The sequence below is a fragment of the Homo sapiens genome, chromosome X (genome assembly GCF_000001405.40).
Source record: "Homo sapiens chromosome X, GRCh38.p14 Primary Assembly".
Classification (NCBI taxonomy): Eukaryota; Metazoa; Chordata; class Mammalia; order Primates; family Hominidae; genus Homo; species Homo sapiens.
Window position 1 is genome coordinate 39,419,289 of NC_000023.11, and position 19,048 is coordinate 39,438,336.

General features: G+C 45.0%; 1 long non-coding RNA gene across 1 annotated transcript in view; it reads right to left on the reverse strand.

The window, feature by feature from the left end:
- Positions 1 to 15,549, reverse strand: part of LINC01283 (long intergenic non-protein coding RNA 1283) — a 33,586-nt gene extending 18,037 nt beyond the window's left edge. The window contains exon 1 of the long non-coding RNA NR_186823.1: positions 15,467 to 15,549. This is a non-coding gene — a long non-coding RNA (long intergenic non-protein coding RNA 1283). The remainder of the gene's footprint in view (positions 1 to 15,466) is intronic.
- Between the last annotated feature and the right edge of the window lie 3,499 nt (positions 15,550 to 19,048).

A 19,048-nucleotide genomic window follows, 5' to 3' on the forward strand; every position in this document is an offset into this window, starting at 1 on the left:
AGGCTGATTCTGCGACATCAACTGTTACCCATTAGGGAACAGGCTGACAACAAGAAATGCATTTCACTTCCAGTCTTGGCCCTCCCTGGACTTGTAGTCCAAGGAAGCTCCAGTGATCCTGCTGGGGACACGGGCCTCCTGCCAGCTCTTAAGAGCTTCTGCCAGGGTTTCTCTCCCCAAAGGAAAAAGTGTCTGGGAGGGCCTCTGAGGAAGGGGAAAGGGTGAAGGACACTAGCTGGGAGTCAGTCCAAATTGGCTCTGCCCCATGTGAAAGAGCCTGATACATTCAAGGTCATTGATCCGAATTTGTCCCCGCAAAGCAGAACAAAATGAGCAGAGACACACACTCAGTAGCAAGTCTAAGGGGAAAAAAAATATCCTGTAAATCTGTCCATGTTGTTTTCTTTTAAGATGCGGTAGCTAATGTTGGTGTCAGAAAGGGGCCCAGCTGTTTATGGTGCTTACCTAAACAGCCTGCCTGACTTTAAAGTCATTTCTGGCTGCTTCTGCCAACCCAAGTACTCCAGTCCACCTTTTTGTGTCATTCCCATCAGAAAAATCACACCGGTCTGATGCTCACTCTGGCGTGCTGGCCTCCCGTGAAATGCTGTGATCGAGGGTCTCCAGTGGGACTCAGAGACTCCATTCCTCTGCCCCTCCCCCACCATCCTCCTCCACACCATCTACCCACCCACTGCTGGGTGCGATTTATAAGCAGGGGAATCCCCTTAATCCCATAGATATGTGATTTACTTCACCCAAGAATTCGGAGAGCTGCGTCCTCTCTCAAAAAGTGAATTATAACACCAGCATAGAATATCGATTCCAGACATGTGGAATTTTAATCCCCAAGTCCCCACGAAATGCTTCTGTCCATGGTAAATTGGTCCACCATTTCAGCATGTCCAAACAGGTAGGACAGATGACCCCCTCTGGCCACCAACTCTCAGTCACTGGGGGCAAGGTCAGGGGGTTGCGGGGGAATCTGAGAGCCTTCATCTCACTCTCGTGACTGTGTCTGCTCTCAGGTGCTGTGTGCAATTCTATTTTGTATTTCTTGGAACCTGACATCAATTGGGCATTTTTAAATTCCCCTGCTGCCCGCAAAGCCAAAGCCAGGCAGCCATCTTCAAAATGTCACCAGCCATTAACCGTGAGCAAGGATGAATTATGCTCACCACCACCATCAGGTGCATTGAGAAGAACAACTCGCGGAGGCAGACTGCCATGTGCTGGGGGGAGTTCCAGCTCCAAGCCCTGCCCTGGGCTCTCCCAGGACCGCCAACCCGTGTTTCCAGAGATTGTGGTTTTATCTGCAAATAGGTTAGGTTTTAATGGGTAGTAAGCCCCCATAATATTCCAGGCCCTGTTCCCAGCACCACTTCCACAATAACTCTCCTCACTTCCTTGTCACAAGTGGGAATTGAAAGGCTCAGAGCTGTTGGGTACATTGGTCAAGGTCACACAGCTGGTGAGTGGAAGAAACATGCCTGTTACCAAGATCTATTTTCTATTACATCACACCCAAAGAAGCTTCTGCCAATCTTATGCATGGTTTTCACTGCATGTCTCAATAATATAACCAGTCCCAGGCACCTACATTTTAACGCCAATACAGCTGGAGCTCAGACAGGTTAAGTGACCTGTGCGAACACACACTCATGGAGGGAGAATGGGCTCTGTGACATGTAATGCGACAGATATTTATTGAGCATCCACAAGCTTTGGCTATACACAGCTAAATAAGGCACAGTCACTGCCATCGAAAGACTTGACGGTCACATGGGGGCAGACTGCAACATACATGATTCTGCATAATTCCAAGCATGGAATAGTATGTTATTTGTGTTTGTGAGTGTCATGGGATCCCAGGAATGGAGTGAGTCATTCACAGAGGAAGTGACATTTGAGGTGAACCATGAAGGCTGTGGAGGAATGAAGAGGCAGGCATCGAGTAGAATTCTCTGATGGCACACTGCCCCACCCCACAAGCCTTACCCCTGGGGTGGCCAGTTTACTGTGAGCATCAGCAAGTAAATGTCAAACAGCCTGTCCCATCCTCTAACTCAGCACTATACAACAAAACTTTCTATGATAATGGAAATGGTCTAGATCTGTGCTACTCGATATAGTGGCCTCCCAGCCGCAGGTCCCTACTGAACACTTGAAATGTGGCCAGTAGGACTGAGAAACTGATTGTTTCGTTCTATTTACTCTTAATTTATATTTCAATTTAAAAAGCCATATGTGGCCAGTGGCTCCTATAGAGGACAGCACCTGCAGCAGAGAGTGGGACTACAGGCATTAATCTTGCAAGAGGATGGCAGACCGACCTCTGTGCAGGCGATCACTGGACAGTTCTCCATCATCGACAGGCAAAGGGGCAGAAGCATGGGCACAGCCCTCCTAGGGCTAAGTCACAAGGTCCTGTCATAGGTCCAGATGCTCCAACAACCATTCAGTGCTCCCCAGCATCATGTGATCAGTGGGACTAGGTCTGAGTTGCCACCACGTCACCTCCTCCTGGCCCTATAGTCTCTGCTGAGGAGGCTGGAGAAAGGAGGCACTGTGAGAGACCCAGCCCCCATCTCACCTTCTGCTCAATGGTGACCTTCCCCTGGTGACCCTTTCATTGGATGAATGTGTCACAGCTGCCCTGCAGTGAGCAGGAGGGCTGGATGTGGTGCTGGGAAGGCCACCCTTGGTATGAAGCCCTCCTGTCTTCTCTGGGTGCCCCAAGCCCAGGGCTCCAGGATAGAGCTGTCTCCATGCTCACAACAGCAATGAGACTTATAGCAAATGAGACTTATAGCAACTGCATTAGTCCATTCTCTCATTGCTGTGAAGAACTACCTGAGGCCAGGCTCGGTGGCTCACCCCTGTAATCCCAGCACTTTGGGAGGCTGAGGCAGGTGGATCACGAGGTCAGGAGATCAAGACCATCTTGGCCAACATGCCGAAACCCCATCTCTACTAAAATACAAAAAATTAGCTGGGCGTGATGGAACGCACCTGTAGTCCCAGCTACTCGATAGGCTGAGCCAGGGGAATGGCTTGAACCCGGGAGATGGAAGTTGCAGTGAGCTGAGATGGCACCACTGCACTCCAGCCTGGCGACACAGCAAGACTCTGTCAAAAAAATAAATAAATAAAAATAAAATAAAATAAAAGAACTACCCGAGACTGGGTGATTTATGAAGAAAAGAGGGTTAATTGACTCACAGTTCTGCAGGCTGTACAGGAAGCATGGCTGGGGAGGCCTCAGGAAACTTACAATCATGGCAGAAGGCAAAGGGGAAAAAGGGAAAGCAGGCACATCTTCACATGGCGGTACAGGAGAGAGCAAAAGAAGGGAGAAATGCTACACACTTTTAAACAACCAGATCTCATGAGCACTCTGTCTCAAGACAGCACTAGGGGATGGTGCTAAACCATTAGAAACAACCCCCATGATTCAATCACCTCCCACCAGGCCCCACCTCCAACATTGGGAATTACAATTCAACATGAGATTTGTGTGGGGACATAGAGCCAAACCATATCAGCAACTCACCGTGCACCCCAATTAATTAATGCATGTAGCTTTCACTTGTCTTCTTTCCTACACTTTCATTGGGGGAACTATAGAAAATAGTGAAACATGAATAAAGGAAATCTATCCAGAACATGACTCCTTCTTTCCACCTCCACCACTGCCACCCTAGCCAAACTGTCATTGTATCTGCTTTTACAATGGCCCAATCAGTCTGTTCCTCCCTTGCTGATACATAGTCCATCCTCAACAGAGCAGCCAGAGGGATTCTTTAAACCCTAAACCAGATAGAGGCACTCCTTGCCCATAACTCTCCAATACTCCCCATCTTGGTGCAAAAGCTGAAGTCCTTACGAGGTCCTGTGCAGTCTCACAGTCTGCCCCCACTCTTCCTCACCTCTGGCTTCATCTATTACTCTCCTGCTCCCACCAAAGATCTGTCCCAGCTGCACTGGTCTCTTTGCTGCCCCTGGACCATGCCTGGCATAGCCTGCCTCAAGGCCTTTGCACTGGTCCTCTCCCCTGACTGGAGCACTCTTCCCTTAAACAGCCACATAGCCCACTCCTGAGTGTTTTTCATGCCTTTATTCAAATGCCACCTTCCTGGTGAAGTCTTCACTGGACACTTAATTAAATTTGCAATCTCACTCTTCTTCCAATTCCCCATTCATTTCCCCAGATCTCTTTTTCTTCCTAGTCTTATCTCTGTCATACTATAGATTTTGCTTATTTATTTGGTTTATTATCTGTCTTCTTTCACTCGAATGTGAGCTCTATGAAGGCAGGTGGTTTATTTATGCTTTGTACTCTGCTATAGTCACGGTGTCTAGAAAAGTGTCTGATACAATGTAGGCTGTCAATAGATATTTGCGGAATAAATGACTAAAAATCACTATATCTCTGCACTCAAAGATAACCATTGCTAATGGCTGGTTGTATTCCCTTCTAGACTTTCTTCTATTGAGCCTCATTTTGACTGAGTTAAGTAGGAGTCCTGTGGCCATCAAGAGAGTGCTGAGGAGAGAGGGAGGGACAGCTCTCTCAGGGTCTGTATCTGCCTGTGATCTCCTTGGTGGAGGCCTGGGCCTCATCCTGATTGGCCCAGAAATCCACACTTTCAGTTCTCTCAGGGATCATCAGCCTTGGCAGGACTGACCCACATTAACCAAACTCATAAGAACCTGCAGATAGATAAAACCAAAGACCACTTTACTCATTCCTACCCCTTTCCAGTGATTCTGCCCCTCAAGGAACACAGAACACTATGCTGGAAGTCATGGCTGCAGCTGGAGGAGGTGTACTTTGTTGATTGCCCAGAGGGTTGTATTAAGATTTTAGGCACCTTCAAGCACTGAAAAGATTATAGTGTGCTGTACGCAATCCCATGTGCTATTCACAATAAAAATAGTGCTCAACTATGAAACAATTACAATGAAAATAATGTTCCGAGTTTTCCCATTATGATAAAGTTAATGCTTTTAAATATATACGTTAAAAATAAAATTGCTTCTTTTAAAAATCATCTTTGTTTCTCCTGCTTTGTTTGTGATCTGGGCATGTTCTTAGGCTTCCTGTGGGACATTCCAGCCAATATAGTTTGGCTCTGTGTCCCCACCCAAATCTCATGTTGAATTGTATTCGCTAATGTTGGGGGAGGAAACTGGTGGGAGGTGATTGATTGGATCAAGGGGGTGGATTTCCCCCTTGAAGTTCTCATGTCAGTGTGATAGTGAGTGAGTTTTCACAAGATCTGGTTGTTTGAAAGTGTATAGCACTTCTCCCTTCACTCTATTCCTCCTGCTCCTGCCATGTAGGTGTGCCTTCTTCCCATTCGCCTTCTGCCATAATTGTATGTTTCCTGAGGCCTCCCCAGGCATGCATCCTGTACATCCTGTGGAATCATGAGCCCATTAAATGCCTTTTCTTTATAAATTACCCAGTCTCAGTATGTCTTTATAGCAGTGTGAGAATGCACTAATACACCAGCTTGGGTTGTTTCTCCAGCTTTTCTCAACCCTTACAAGCAAAATGATCCTGATTTTTCCCTTGGGGGATTGCTTCCCCATTTTCCAGTATAACCATACTGGAGTGTGGAGGTAGACATCCCTTCCACACTCAGGGTTGGGGTCAACTGTGAGAAGCAATTTGGTGGGACTTCTGAGAAAGCCCGTGGGTAGTGTGATGTGAACGTGCTTTAAGATCTGGTGCTGGGTAGCATTTGGTTATCATAATGAGGTACTTTGGACAAGTGGGGGCCACCATGTGTAATTGTAGTCAAAATGGAATAATACAGAGAAAAGAGATAAAGAGAAACCAGGTTTTTGGTAGCACGATTTTTGTGCTGCTGGGTCAAACTGTGCCTGAAAACAACATTTCTGCTCAACTTTTTTTTCAGTTATGTGAGCCAATTCTCTTGTGGTTTAAGTTGGTTTGAGTTGAGTCTTCTGACATTTAAAATCAAAAGATTCCTAACAGATATACCTTGGAAACATGAATCATAGCACAGAGAATTGAACAGACTTCAGCACCCTTTTAGATAGATTAAGACTGACACATTCTAACATTTTAGACTCTATGAAGACTGCCTATTTTCTGTTGAAAGATATATTTGATTGTTTTATAATTCATCCGATTCCTTTATATACTCCATGAGGGCCAAAATTGTGTCTGTTTTGTTCATTGCTGTTTCCTCAGCACCTAAAACAATGACTGGCCCTTAGTAGACACTCCATAAGTGTTTAGTGCCTGCCTGCCTGAATGAATGAATGAAACTGAGACACAGATAAAGTGACATGCCCAAAGTCACATAGCTAACTATTGAGATAGTAAGGTGGGGAATCCACCATATTATCCTAGCAACATACTTGTAAACATTCTTAACTCATCAGAAAGAGAAGAAAGAACTAATATTTGTTGTTGTCCTTTCCTTGGCCAGATGTAATTTGAGTGTCTTCACACTGTCTTATTATTCTATGTGAATCCCCCACCATACACATACAATATCAAGAGGTGGGTAAGATTACTGTCATTTTACAAGTGAGAAAACTGAGGTACAGAGATTTAAGTTTCTTCCCAAAGATCACAAAGCTACTATAGCAGAAAACAGCTCAGCTTAAAAGAGTCCTGATATGGAAAGCACTTGCAATGGTGCCTATGACATTGGTCAGCTCGGAGAAGATTCTACAGATAGCTAACGCCATGCATACCAGGCAGGTTTTTTACCACATTCCCTTTCAGAGACTGACATTTTGTGACATTGATCCCCAAATCTAGAGGAGACAGATTTCCCTGCACAAATTACATGCATGTGGATAGGCGGGAAAAGAATACCCAGTGGTGTGGCAGTTGCGATGTCATCATCCATGTGAGCTCTATGCTGGTATGTGCGGATGTGAACAGGAGCATTGTGTACTCAAAGGCACGTGTGTGAGTGTGTGTGTGTGTGTGTGTGTGTGTGTCTTTTCACATAGATGATCTCAGAACTGTAGGACTATTATTTCTGGGGCCCTACCCTGGTGCTGTGTAAACACATCACAATAAAAAGAAGTGACAGAATCTTCTGGTCACATCGAACCATGCGGATGTGTACCCAGCATGGCCACAATTTCAGCAGAGCATGCAATACTACTTCTCTGAACATAAAATGGCAGAGGAGCCTGGACACTAGTGTCTAGGGTAACTGACCATACACCAGAACAGACACTTGCCCCTATGTTCTCTCTAAGTAGTATTAATTCACACACCCTGATCAGTCCTGTTACTTGTCCTGGCTCCCTGTGTGCTCAAAGCAGCTTTATTTAGTAACACCTGGGGGATCCTTGAGGATAACCCAAATATGCCACTGTGGCATATCCCAAAGTGGCATATTTGTGAGTGGCATATTCTACTACCCTTCAGAGGCAACATTAAAACCATGTGGAAGACCACTGCATGGGAAAGAGGTGCAAATCCAAAACCTTTGCATGGGGAAGAGAAATAGGCTAATCATTGAATATAAGCATAACTACATAATTTTTAAACCATCGCAGAGGAATCCATAAACAATGGGAAAGAACAAAAATACGTTGGGAAAGAACAAAAATACGTTGGGAAAAGGCCTCCAACATAATTTGCATATATAGGGTTAATACTTATAAACCTTATGTTCTATGGGAAAGGCCCTGTGGGGAAGGGCCCTGTGGGGACCAGGAACCACAGTGACACTGTCATGCTTTGTATCCTAGGAAAAGCCTCTCCACTCTCTGGGCCTTGGAATCCTCATTGGGGGAATGGGGCGGTTAGATTACAGAATTTCTAAGCTCCTTCATTCTACAGTACTAAAGCAGAAATTTCTAGGCGCGGAAATAAGGAAATACTATGGCCATGGCTCTTCAAACTAGGGGGCTTAGGATCTGGTGGGAATTGTCCACTGAAGGGTACCCCTAATACAGATGGCTGCTCTAGGCCCTCTGGCCTTGGTTTGGAGGCTACCAATTTGGTGTGCTGGGGAGAAGGTAGAAGGAAAACTAGAAGGTGGTGAGGGAAGGGTAGAATGCAAAGGCTTCACAAACACTGACTCATGTTGGAGTCTGCCTGGTTCCTCCCCACTTTGCAGGGGAAGCATAAAAGTGTGTGTGTATGTTTTTTAAACCCACTCAGGTCAGGAGAAATGCAGAAAGTAAACATCTAAGAGAAAGAAAAGATTGCTTTCCTTTGTGATTTTTCTTCCTTTGAGCAAAGCGCCCCAGAATGTATTGCAAAGGGCGGGGCAGGGGGTGAGGAGAGAGCTGTTAGCACTCCCTTCGTGCCTTTGAAGGCAGCAGGCCTCTGTAAACAGAAGTGACTTCTGACTTCTCACGGCTCTAAAAATAATCAGAGTGTGGGGGGTTCTAAATCAGGAACAAAGAAGAAACAAAGGGTTAATGAGAGGACACAAGTTTGATGTCTTATTGCATAAACACAGAGCCAGCTAGGAACAAATGCGTCAGAAGCTGGCCTTCGCCAGAAGGTAACCAGCACAGCTTTTAGCCCTTAAAATTCTGCACATTGCTATTTCTTCCTCACATTTGCAAAGGGCACCTCACACCCTGCTCTCTGCGCCAGCCCCTCTCTAAAGTGTGCTGCTGGCAGGGAGTTGGCCCTTTCATCTATCTCAGGACCCTTCCCCTATAGCTTCACCCCTCTCCCCTCACCCTGATCAATGCTTTCCTGTAAGATCTAACTCATACTAACTTGCAAGTGACTGATATGGCCCTAGCAGCAGCTCATGTTTACCATGGGGCTCACTTTCTCTATGCTCTGTGCATGACCTCGCTGCGACTCACATCACCACTAAGTATTATTACCACATGCACGTTAAAGCAAAGAGGATGGAGAATTGCTCTAACTTCCCCACAGTCCCAAATCCAGTGGATGGTGGAACTGCAATCCTAAACCTCAAGCAATCAGGTGCCAGAGCCCAAACCCTTAACCCTCATTCCTCTGCATTTCAAGGCAAAGAATTAAGTAGTGGGGAGTTATCTAGAAGCCGAAAGCCAGGGTAGAAACCTAGGGCTGACATTGTAAGGCAGTCATTCCCTTTGACTCAAAAACCTATCTCAAAAGGTCGCTCCCGTTGTCTAGTTTTAATGAACTTCGAGGGAGGTCCACTCAGCACCACCTCAGCCCCACATACTGTGCCAGGCTCTTTAAGGCATTCAGCACACACAGCCATTAGCTGTTTGCAGTCCAACAAGTCAGTTTCTGTTTGGACCAAATGTCATGCACTACCCATCATGCTGCATGTGTAAAGATATCCTTCTGGGGTTGGGGGAAATAGGGAAAGAAAAATGTGGGGATTGGAAAAGCCAGCTTATAAAAGAGTATTGCGAGTCTCTTTCCTAATCCCATGTAACTAGCATATCACAGTTCCTGGCATAAAGGAAGCACTCCAAGAATACATATTGATTGAAAGCATAAAGGAATGAATGAGTGAACAAACAAATGAACTAATAAACTGACACATAGCTACCTTCCTTCTTTTCTTCTCTTATGTTCTCGAAATCATCATCAATATTCCCTCGACATCTAATGTGCACACCTGTCAGATAGGGGCACAGGTTCCGGCTGTGTAGATCTAGGCTAGGGCCTGAGATTGTACACATCTAACCAGCTCCCAAGTGATGCTATTGCTCTTGCTGATCCGTGGACCACACTTTGAGTATCAAGGGTCTAGTACACCTGTGTCTTACTCATGGCTGCTGTCACAGTTCAACATCATTAAAGGTCTCGTCTGTTCCATGGAATTATTTGCATTAAACTTTTGCAGCCATTTTATCAGTGTGTTTTTGTTTTTACTGTAGTTTTGGTCTAAGGTACACAGTACAGTACTGTATGTTAAAATTCCACCTGTGTTGCCTTTTACCTCCCACTTGTACCAGAGGTGGATTTCCCATGAAGCTAATGAAGCTTAAACCTCAGATCCCCTCACTATATGGACCCTGTTCCACATCCTCAGGCACAGATAGCAATATCTTTTCACAGTTATAAAATTTTGTGAATTTCCAAAATTAAAAGTATTTTGCAGTTTTTAAAGAGGTCCCCCAATTTGTACAAACCTCAGGTCCCACATAAACCTGGCTCCACTCCTGCACTTGCTCTACTATATTTCTTAGAGTAGATACACATTTTTCTTGTACTCATGTCTCTGTCAAACACAGGAAAATAAAGGAAAAGACAGCCATGAGTTTTAGGAAATGTGAAAGAGTGAAATTCTCAGAGGATACACTTGTATATTTAAATATGCAAACATTTAGCTCTGATTTATGGTTTCTGCTGCCCACCCAGCCCTTGTATGCATCTGCATTGGCAACCTCTAATCTGGCCTTTGGTAAGAAGCATTACAAAGAAAAAATGTTTCACTTTGTCATCCCATTACCTGTAGAAGTTCATGGAACCCATCAGCCTTGGTCTCCTGGACAAACAGGCTCAGTTAGCATCCTCACCTGTTTAGGGAGGAGGCCATGATTCTATGACACCATTGCACAGTGTAGACTACCATGTCAGTAAATAGTATCTGCTCCATTTATTGGATTATCACAAGTACGGGTGATAATACCACAAACCTCAAGACAGCTGGCTCCATCAAAGTCTGTGCAGCCATGTGGTACCTTCAACCAGTTCTACTAAACCTTGGCCACACCTTGGAACCACCTGGGGAGCTTTAAAACATATTTTTGCCTGGGTCACATCCCCAAAGATTATTCCGATTTAATCAGCCTGAGATGTGGTCTGGGCAATGACATTTTTTTAAAGCTTCCCAGGCGATTGCAATGTGAAGCCAAGGGTGAGAGTCACTGCCTGAGTCCATCTGATCTGGGGAGAACGCTAGAACCCTGTTACCCAAGGTGTGGTTCTCAGATCAGACCAGCAAGCATCGGCATCACCAGGCAGCATACTAGAAATGGAGAATTCCGCTCACACCTGTAATCCCAGCACTTTGGGAGGCCAAGGCAGGCGGATCACCTGAGGTCAGAAGTTCGAGGCCAGCATGGCCAACATGGCAAAACCCCATCTCTGCTAAAAATACAAAAATTAGCTGGGCATGGTGGAGTGCACCTGTAATCCCAGCTACTAGGGAGGCTGAGGCAGGAGAATCGCTTGAATCCAGGAAACGGAGGTTGCAGTGAGCCGAGCTGAGATGGTGCCAGGGCACTCCAGCCTGGGTGACAGAGCAAGACTCCGTCTCAAAAAAAAAAAAAAAGAAAGAAAGAAAGAAAGAAAAAAAGAAAAGAAAAGGAGAATTCCATATTCCAAGCCCCGTCCCAGACCTACCCAATCAGAATCTGCATTTTGTCAAGATTCCCAGGGGATTTGCCTGTCCAGTAGATTTTGAGAAGCACCGCCTTAGAAACCGTCAGTTTCTGGATCAGCCTCCTCTATTTCCAGATGCAGAAATTGGAAATCAATCACGTGAAATGATTTTAGCCAAGCTCCCCAAGAAGCCAGCTGGAGTCCCAGGTCTCCCATCCTCCAGCTTCAGCCAGATTTCATCCTCTCCCTCAGCTGGACTTCGTGCCATTTTAGAAGGATATCAAGAGTTAGAGGCATAGGTCCCATTTCTGAGTTGCAGAAACTACACAGTTTACTGCAGAATTTCTGGCTTTTTCTTGCTAGGGGGAAAATATGTCTCAGTAAGCTCCATTATGTATTCTGGGTATATGCAATGAGTTTGTCTTGAGACATATTTATGCTTGAGAATATTATGTATTCTCTTTATATACCATGCAAGGTTAAACTTTTTGAAAATTTGTATTTGCTTTTTATCACCCAGACATATAAGCAATTTATAGCCAGGCCTGATGGATTGGAATCAGATGGCAAAACCCGGATTAACCCCATGGATCCTGATGGCCATTGGTCAGTCCTTGCTATCCATGATATTTTCACCTGAGTGAATGCATTAAAGGCTTTCCTTTTAAGATAAATATGCAGGTGGGTATCGTTTTTGCAAAGCAGGCACTTCCTCTTGCTGCTTTAAGTTCATCCAGCACTTTTTTCAAAGACAGACATATTGAAACAGTCATACGCTGAATAATTCATGTGGAAAAATTGGGGGGAGAGCTAAGTAGAGGTGACTTGTGAGATATTCTTACTTGCTGGTGTTAAAAGATGGAGATTCCTTGTATTACATAATTGCTATTCACCAGAAATGCAGTGGTTGAGGCAGGTTAGGGATCCTTCATGAGGCCCCTTTTGCACCAATCCTTCGGTCACTCAACAAACTCTTACTAGTTATCTTTTAGAAATAAAAGATACTCCGAGTACACAGGCATATTTGAAGACCATCATGTAAACTGGCCTGGCCCAGGGAGGTCTGGTAACACACCAATAGAAGCTTCCTGACAAACACAAGACTTTATCACACGTGCACATGCATGGGTGCAGGCACAAACCCCCCAGCCACTAGTGTGATCTATCACCTACAATCTTTGCCAGGCCCAAAGAGGGTCTTTATGTGCAAATCCCTGGCCAAGGGTGGTCCTACAGAACTGCTCAGCATTCACCCAGGTGCAAAAGCCAGCCAGAGGATGAATCATTATTATTTTTTTAATCAAGTAACAGACCCAGGTGTAGCAGCAGCCCAGCTTTCTAATATCACTGTGGCTTTGATAAATATGTCCCATTCCTTGATAACTTTTCCAAATCCTTTAATATCCTGCAGCTCAGTCCCTGATGTCTGGCTGTCGCAAAAATGTGTGAAGGGAGACCAAATGTCAATAAAATCTCCCTGCCTGCCTCAACCCAGTACATAATCAGCTCCAAGGTAAATAAATGGTAAGTTAGTTATCTGCTGCCAGGGAGGGGAGGCCTCTGGGCTTATCTGGCTTTCATTTTTGCCTTCCTATGGAGCTGACCAAAACGTCTTCTTATTCCACTCTCTTCTGGGGGAGGGTGTTGAATTTTTTCCTCTTTTTTCCTTTTTTTTCCCTTTCCCCTTGGAGGGACAGACTGCTTTGCTTTTCTGAAATGGCTGTCCACTTTATGCTTCGCTCTCCTCAACTCCATTAAATCACCTTTCATCACATTAAATACAGGTCTTCAGGGTGGTCAGAGAGCTTCGCTCTGAGGGATGATGTTATAATAAGGGCAACGTGTATGAAAATCATTTTTCAGCTCAATCCCAGGCAGGCCACAAGGAGAGGGGAGGCACTACGTGTGTCTCACTTGAGACAGGAGCCAGGTTCCTGAAGAGATGTTTCATCTATTCCTTCCTTCCTTCATTCATTCGCAAACACATAACAGAGCACCACTATGTGGCAGGTTATAGGAATTTATCAGTGAACAAAAGAGACCAAGATATCCCTTCCCTCATGGAGCTTCCATGAGTAGGACGCATTGGAAAGCCTCTTAGGGAACATGCTTAACATCAGATTCACAGAACAGAAGAGGGGCTGCTTTGAAAAGTTTAAGATGTGGCTGCCTATAAATTGCTCCTACTCCAGTGCCAAAGTGTGGTATTCTTCCAGGAGACACCCTTTCTTTCTAGTTAAACCGTTCTTTTTTTCTATGAGCCATCATTTTTCTCCAAGAGCAATTGTCCTTGGAAGGGATTAGCTGTTATCACTCTCTAGCACCGTAGTGTGAATTTATTTATTGGCTTCCCTTCCTGCCTAGATAGGAGGGCCTCCAGGGCTGCCAAAAGACAGAAAAATCATGAAAAGGCAGCAACAAGAGAGACTGAGGACAATTTGGGCCACGCAGTCCCCTGGGGCCACCTGTTAAAGAGCTGGATTCTTCATCCCCCACCTGGCCCCACTGCACAAAGATCCCACTCCATAGCCTAAGAGCCCCTGCATAGGACCTTCCCACTAAACAACCCAGGGGCATTAAAAGAACTCTTCAGGAAATAGGCCAAATGGTGTTGAGGTTCTCCAAGCTCAGATAACTTATAGCTCCCCTTCCTCCTGGTGGTGACAACTCCCCACTGTTACTTAGCCTGGGGTACTGCACTCTCCTAGGTTGGCACCTTTTTATTAAAGGCATACTCTATTTGAGTGAGCCATCTGTTTGCTGTCCAGACTTAGAGCCATACAGGGGACTAAAAAGGAAGTAGAGAGACCAATCCTAGGACTAGAGTCTGGGCACAAGTGAAAAAAAGTGGGTAACTGCAAAGCCTGATGGAAGGCAATGTCTTTACATTTAGTGGACTTATGCATGTCCATAAAATGCAGATTCCTCCCTCATAGCCCCTTCTGACTCAGCAGGTCTGACCAGAGGCCTGGGAATATGGATTTTTAACAAGTACCAGAGATGATGCTAAAGCTGATGGCCTGTGTATCACAATTTCATACCTATTGATTTAATAGGTCCCAACTCAGCATGGTTACTCCCTTTTGCTGCAATTCCATTCTCCTTTCCACTTGTATTCTTCCGTTTTCATGCTGCTGATAAAGACATATGTGAGACCAGGTAATTTATAAAGAAAAAGAGGTTTAATGGACTCACAGTTCCACGTGGCTGGGGAGGCCTCACGATCATGGTGGAAGGCAAAAGGTACGTCTTACATGGCGGCAGACAAGAGAGAAAATGAAAGCCAAGCAAAAAGGGAAACCCCTTATAAAACCATCAGATCTCGTGAGACTTAGTCACTACCACAAGAACAGTATGGGGGAAATCGCCCCCATGATTCAATTATGTCCCACCAGGTTTCTCCCACAACACATGGGGATTATGGGAGTCACAAATCAAGATGAGATTTGGGTGGAGACACAGCCAAACCATATCACCACTCTATCTAAAATCTCTACCACCAGTCACTAGCAATTTAAACAACAGATGAATAGCAATAAAGTACAGGAGAGTAAAGAAGAGCTAAGGAAAGAACTATTCAGTTTATATGCAGAATTTAGACAAAATGTAAAGGAGCCAGGACTTGTTGGGCTTAAATATAAAACTTTTTAATCCCTGATCTTTCCTGGCAAAATACTGTCAAAGTAATAAGTGGCCTCCAGGCTGCCAGTAAAACATGGACTCAGAGTACAGTCAGATCAAGGGGACTGCCATAAGACCCTCTGTTGAGATTTCAATAGATAGAATGCAATGTCTTTTAGATCATCTCATGTAGACAAAATGTCTTCTATGAATCTTAAGGATGCTGTTCCACAGCCCTTGCTTGCAGCCCCCATATCTCTACCCATCACCAATATACAGTGTGACAAAAAGCTCAGAGAGGTTAAGTAATCTGTCCATAGTCACACAGGTATTAGTGACAGGGGCAGACTTTGAACCCAAGAAGATTGACTTCTACACTTTGACCCAAAGACAAACTATTGACTCCCTGAGAGAGATGGGTTCCCTTAAGTATCAGTCCTCAAGGTCTTTTAGTTTATTTCATATGTGTATTAGTTGATTTTCATGCTGCTAATAAAGGCATACCTGAAACTGGGAACAAAATAAAGGTTTAATTGGACTTACAGTTCCACGTGGCTGGGGAAGCCTCAGAATCACGGCGGGAGGTGAAAGGCTCTTCTTACATGATGGCAGCAAGAGAAAATGAGGAAGAAGCAAAAGCAGAAACTGCTGATAAACCCATTGGATTTCATGAGACTTAGTCACTATCACCAGAATAGCATGGGAAAGACCAGCTTCCATGATTCAGTTACCTCCCCCTGGGTCCCTCCCACAACATGTGGGAATTCGGAGAAATACAATTCAAGTTGAGATTTTGGTGGGGACACAGCCAAACCATATCATTCCACCCCTGGCCCCTCCAAATCTCATGTCCTCACGTTTCCAAACCAATCATGCCTTTCCAACAGTCCTCCAACATCTTAACTCATGTCAGCATTAACCCAATAGTCCAGTCCCAAGTCTCATCTGAGACAAGGCAAGTTCCTTCTACCTATGAGGCTGTAAAATCAAAAGCAAGCTAGTTACTTCTTAGATACAATGAAGGTACAGGTATTGGGTAAATATAGCCATTCTAAATGGGAGAACTTGGCCAAAATAAAGGGGTTACAGGGCCCATGCAAGTCTGAAATCCAGTGGGGCAGTCAAATTTTAAAGCTCCAAAATGATTTGCTTTGACTCCAGTCTCCCATCCAGGTCACGCTGATGCAAGAGGTGTGTTCCCATGGTCGTGGGCAGCTCCCCCACTGTGGCTTTGCAGGGTACAGCCTCTCTCCTGGCTGCTTTCACAGGCTGGTGTTGAGTGTCTGTGGCTTTTCCAGGCACAAAGTGAAAGCTGTTGGTGGATTTACCATTCTGGGGTCTGGAGGACGGTGGCCCTCTTCTCACAGCACCACTAGGCAGTGCCCCAGTAGGGACTCTGTGTGGGGGCTCTGACCCCACAACCCCACATTTCCCTTCTGCACTGCACTAGCATACATTCTCCGTGAGGACCCTGCTCCTGCAGCAAACTTTTATCTGGGCATCCAGGTATTTCCATACATCTTCTGAAATCTAGGCAGAGGTTCCCAAACCCCAATTCTTGACTTCTGTGCACTCACAGGTTCAACACCTTGTGGAAACTGCCAAGGCTTGGGGCTTCCATCCTCTGGAGCTGGGGCTGGGACACAGGGCACTAAGTCCCTAGGCTGCACACAGCATTGAGACCCTGGACCTGGCTCATAAAACCACATTTTCCTCCTGGGCCTCTGGGCCTGTGATAGGAGGGGCTGCTGTGAAGGTCTCTGACATGGCCTGGAGACATTTTTCCTATGGTCTTGGGGATTAACATTAGGCTCCTTGCTACTTATGCAAATTTCTGCAGACAGCTTGAATTGCTCCTCAAAAAAATGGGTTTTTCTTTTCTACTGCATTGTTGGGCTGCAAATTTTTTGAACTTTTATGCTGTTTCCTTTTTAAAATTGAGTGCTTTTAACAGCACCCAAGTCACCTTTTGAATGTTTTGCTGCTTAGAAATTTCTTCCACCAGTTACTGTAAATCATCTTTCTCAAGTTCAAAATTCCACAGATCTTTAGGGCAAGGGCAAAATGTCTCCAGTCTCTTTGCTAAAATATAACAAGAGTCACTTTTGCTTGAGTTCCCAACAAGTTCCTGATCTCCATCTGAGGCCACCTTAGCCTGGACCTTATTGTTCATATTACTATCAACATATTGGGCAAAGCCATTCAATGAGTGTCTAGGAGGTTCCAAACTTTCCCATATTTTCCTGTCTTCTTCTGAGCCCTTCAAACTGTTCCAACCTCTGCCTGTTACCCAGCTTCCACATTTTCGGCTATCTTTTCAGCAATGCCCTACTCTATGGGTACCAATGTACTGTATTAGTCTGTTTTCATGCTGCTGATAAAGGCATACCCGAAACTGGGAACAAAAAAAGGTTTAATTGGACTTATAGTTCCACATGGCTGGGGAGTCCTCAGAATCATGGTGGGAGGTGAAAGGCTCTTCTTACATTGCAGTGGCAAGAGAAAATGAGGAAGAAGCAAAAGCGGAAACCCCTGATAAACCCATTAGATCTCATGAGACTTAGTCACTATCACAAGAATAGCATGGGAGAGACCGGCACCCATGATTCAATTACCTCCCCCTGGGTCCCTCCCACAACAAGTGGGAATTCTGGGAGATAAAATTCAAGTTGAGATTTTGGTGGGGACACAGCCAAACCCTATCAATACGCATTTCATGTTATTTATTGCAATATTCTTTGAACTTTCACCCTGTCAGAGAATGAATTGAACCAGAGTTGATGTTTTAAAATTTGCACAGATGTTTTCATGAACTATCATGAATCACCTTCCATCATGTTTACCTACTGTAGGATGATGAGATGATGTTGCGTAGGGGTGGGAAGGAACAGGACATGGGCCCCACTGCTGCCCTCTTTCCTTGCTGTCCTTACCCTCAGAATTCTCACTGTGCTCTCTTCAGTGACTTTGCTCATGCCAGCCCTGCCATTAGAGCTGCCTTTTCACTGCATATAACAAGCAGGTGGGTAACTAATCACCTTCAAAAACGTAGTGGCTTAAAACAACAATCATTTTATTATGCTCAGAGATTCTGTGGGTCAGAAATTCAGACATGGCATGGCAAAGATGGTTTATTTCTGCTATAGGATGTTTGAAGCCTCATCTGGGAAGACTCAAGCCTAAGGATGACTTGCAGCTGGGGAGTGCAATCTGGAATCACCTGAGGGTTCCTAGTCCCATGTCTGATTCCTGGGTTGGGAGGACTCAAAGACTGCCAGGCAGACACCTACAGAAGGAAGTCCACATAGCTTGGGCTTCCTCACAGCATGGTGGCCTCAGAATAGTTAGGCTTCTTACATAGCAGCTCAGAGCTCATGGGCCTCCTATGCAAGTGATTTAGCAAATAAGGGGGAAGCTGCATGGCCATTTTATGGTCCAGTCTCAGCATCATTTCCCTTGGATTCTATTGATTGAAGCAGTCATAAACCGACCACTCCATATTCAAGAAGGGACATAGACCCCCACCTCTCAATGGGAGGAGGGTCAAGGACACCTTATAGAAGAGTCTGTGGCTCAAGGGATATTGCTGGCTGTCGTCTTTGGAAAATAGTCTGTTAGTCTGACCTCTGACCACAATTCATAGAATCCTACCCAACTTTCCTTGCCTAGATCAAGCCTCCTCCTCCAGGAAGCCTTCTCTGATTACCAAAGTCCACCTTAACTCCTATTTTCTGTGTATCACTTCTATTTAATATCACAGAGCAGTCGTAGTATTAATAGTAATAGTACAGCTAACGTTTTGAGGCATTGAAAACTAATTTAGATTAACTCGTGAAATCATCAAGACAATCCCTTAAGATAGGGGCTCCTACTATCACCCTTTTATAGTTGAAGAACGTGAAGCCCAGAGAAGTTAGATTACTTGTCAAAGTCACACAAAGCCAGAATTTGAACTCAGGCAATCAGCCCCAGAGTCTGACCTCTGCCCCTCCTCCTATTCTGCCTCTCAGTAGCTCTTACTGATCATAGTTCATTTTTCCCCCAGCCAGACTGAAACAGCTACAACCCTTGGCCACAGTCCCTGAAACGGTGCTAGACTCACTCACATTCTCATTGAGGGATTTC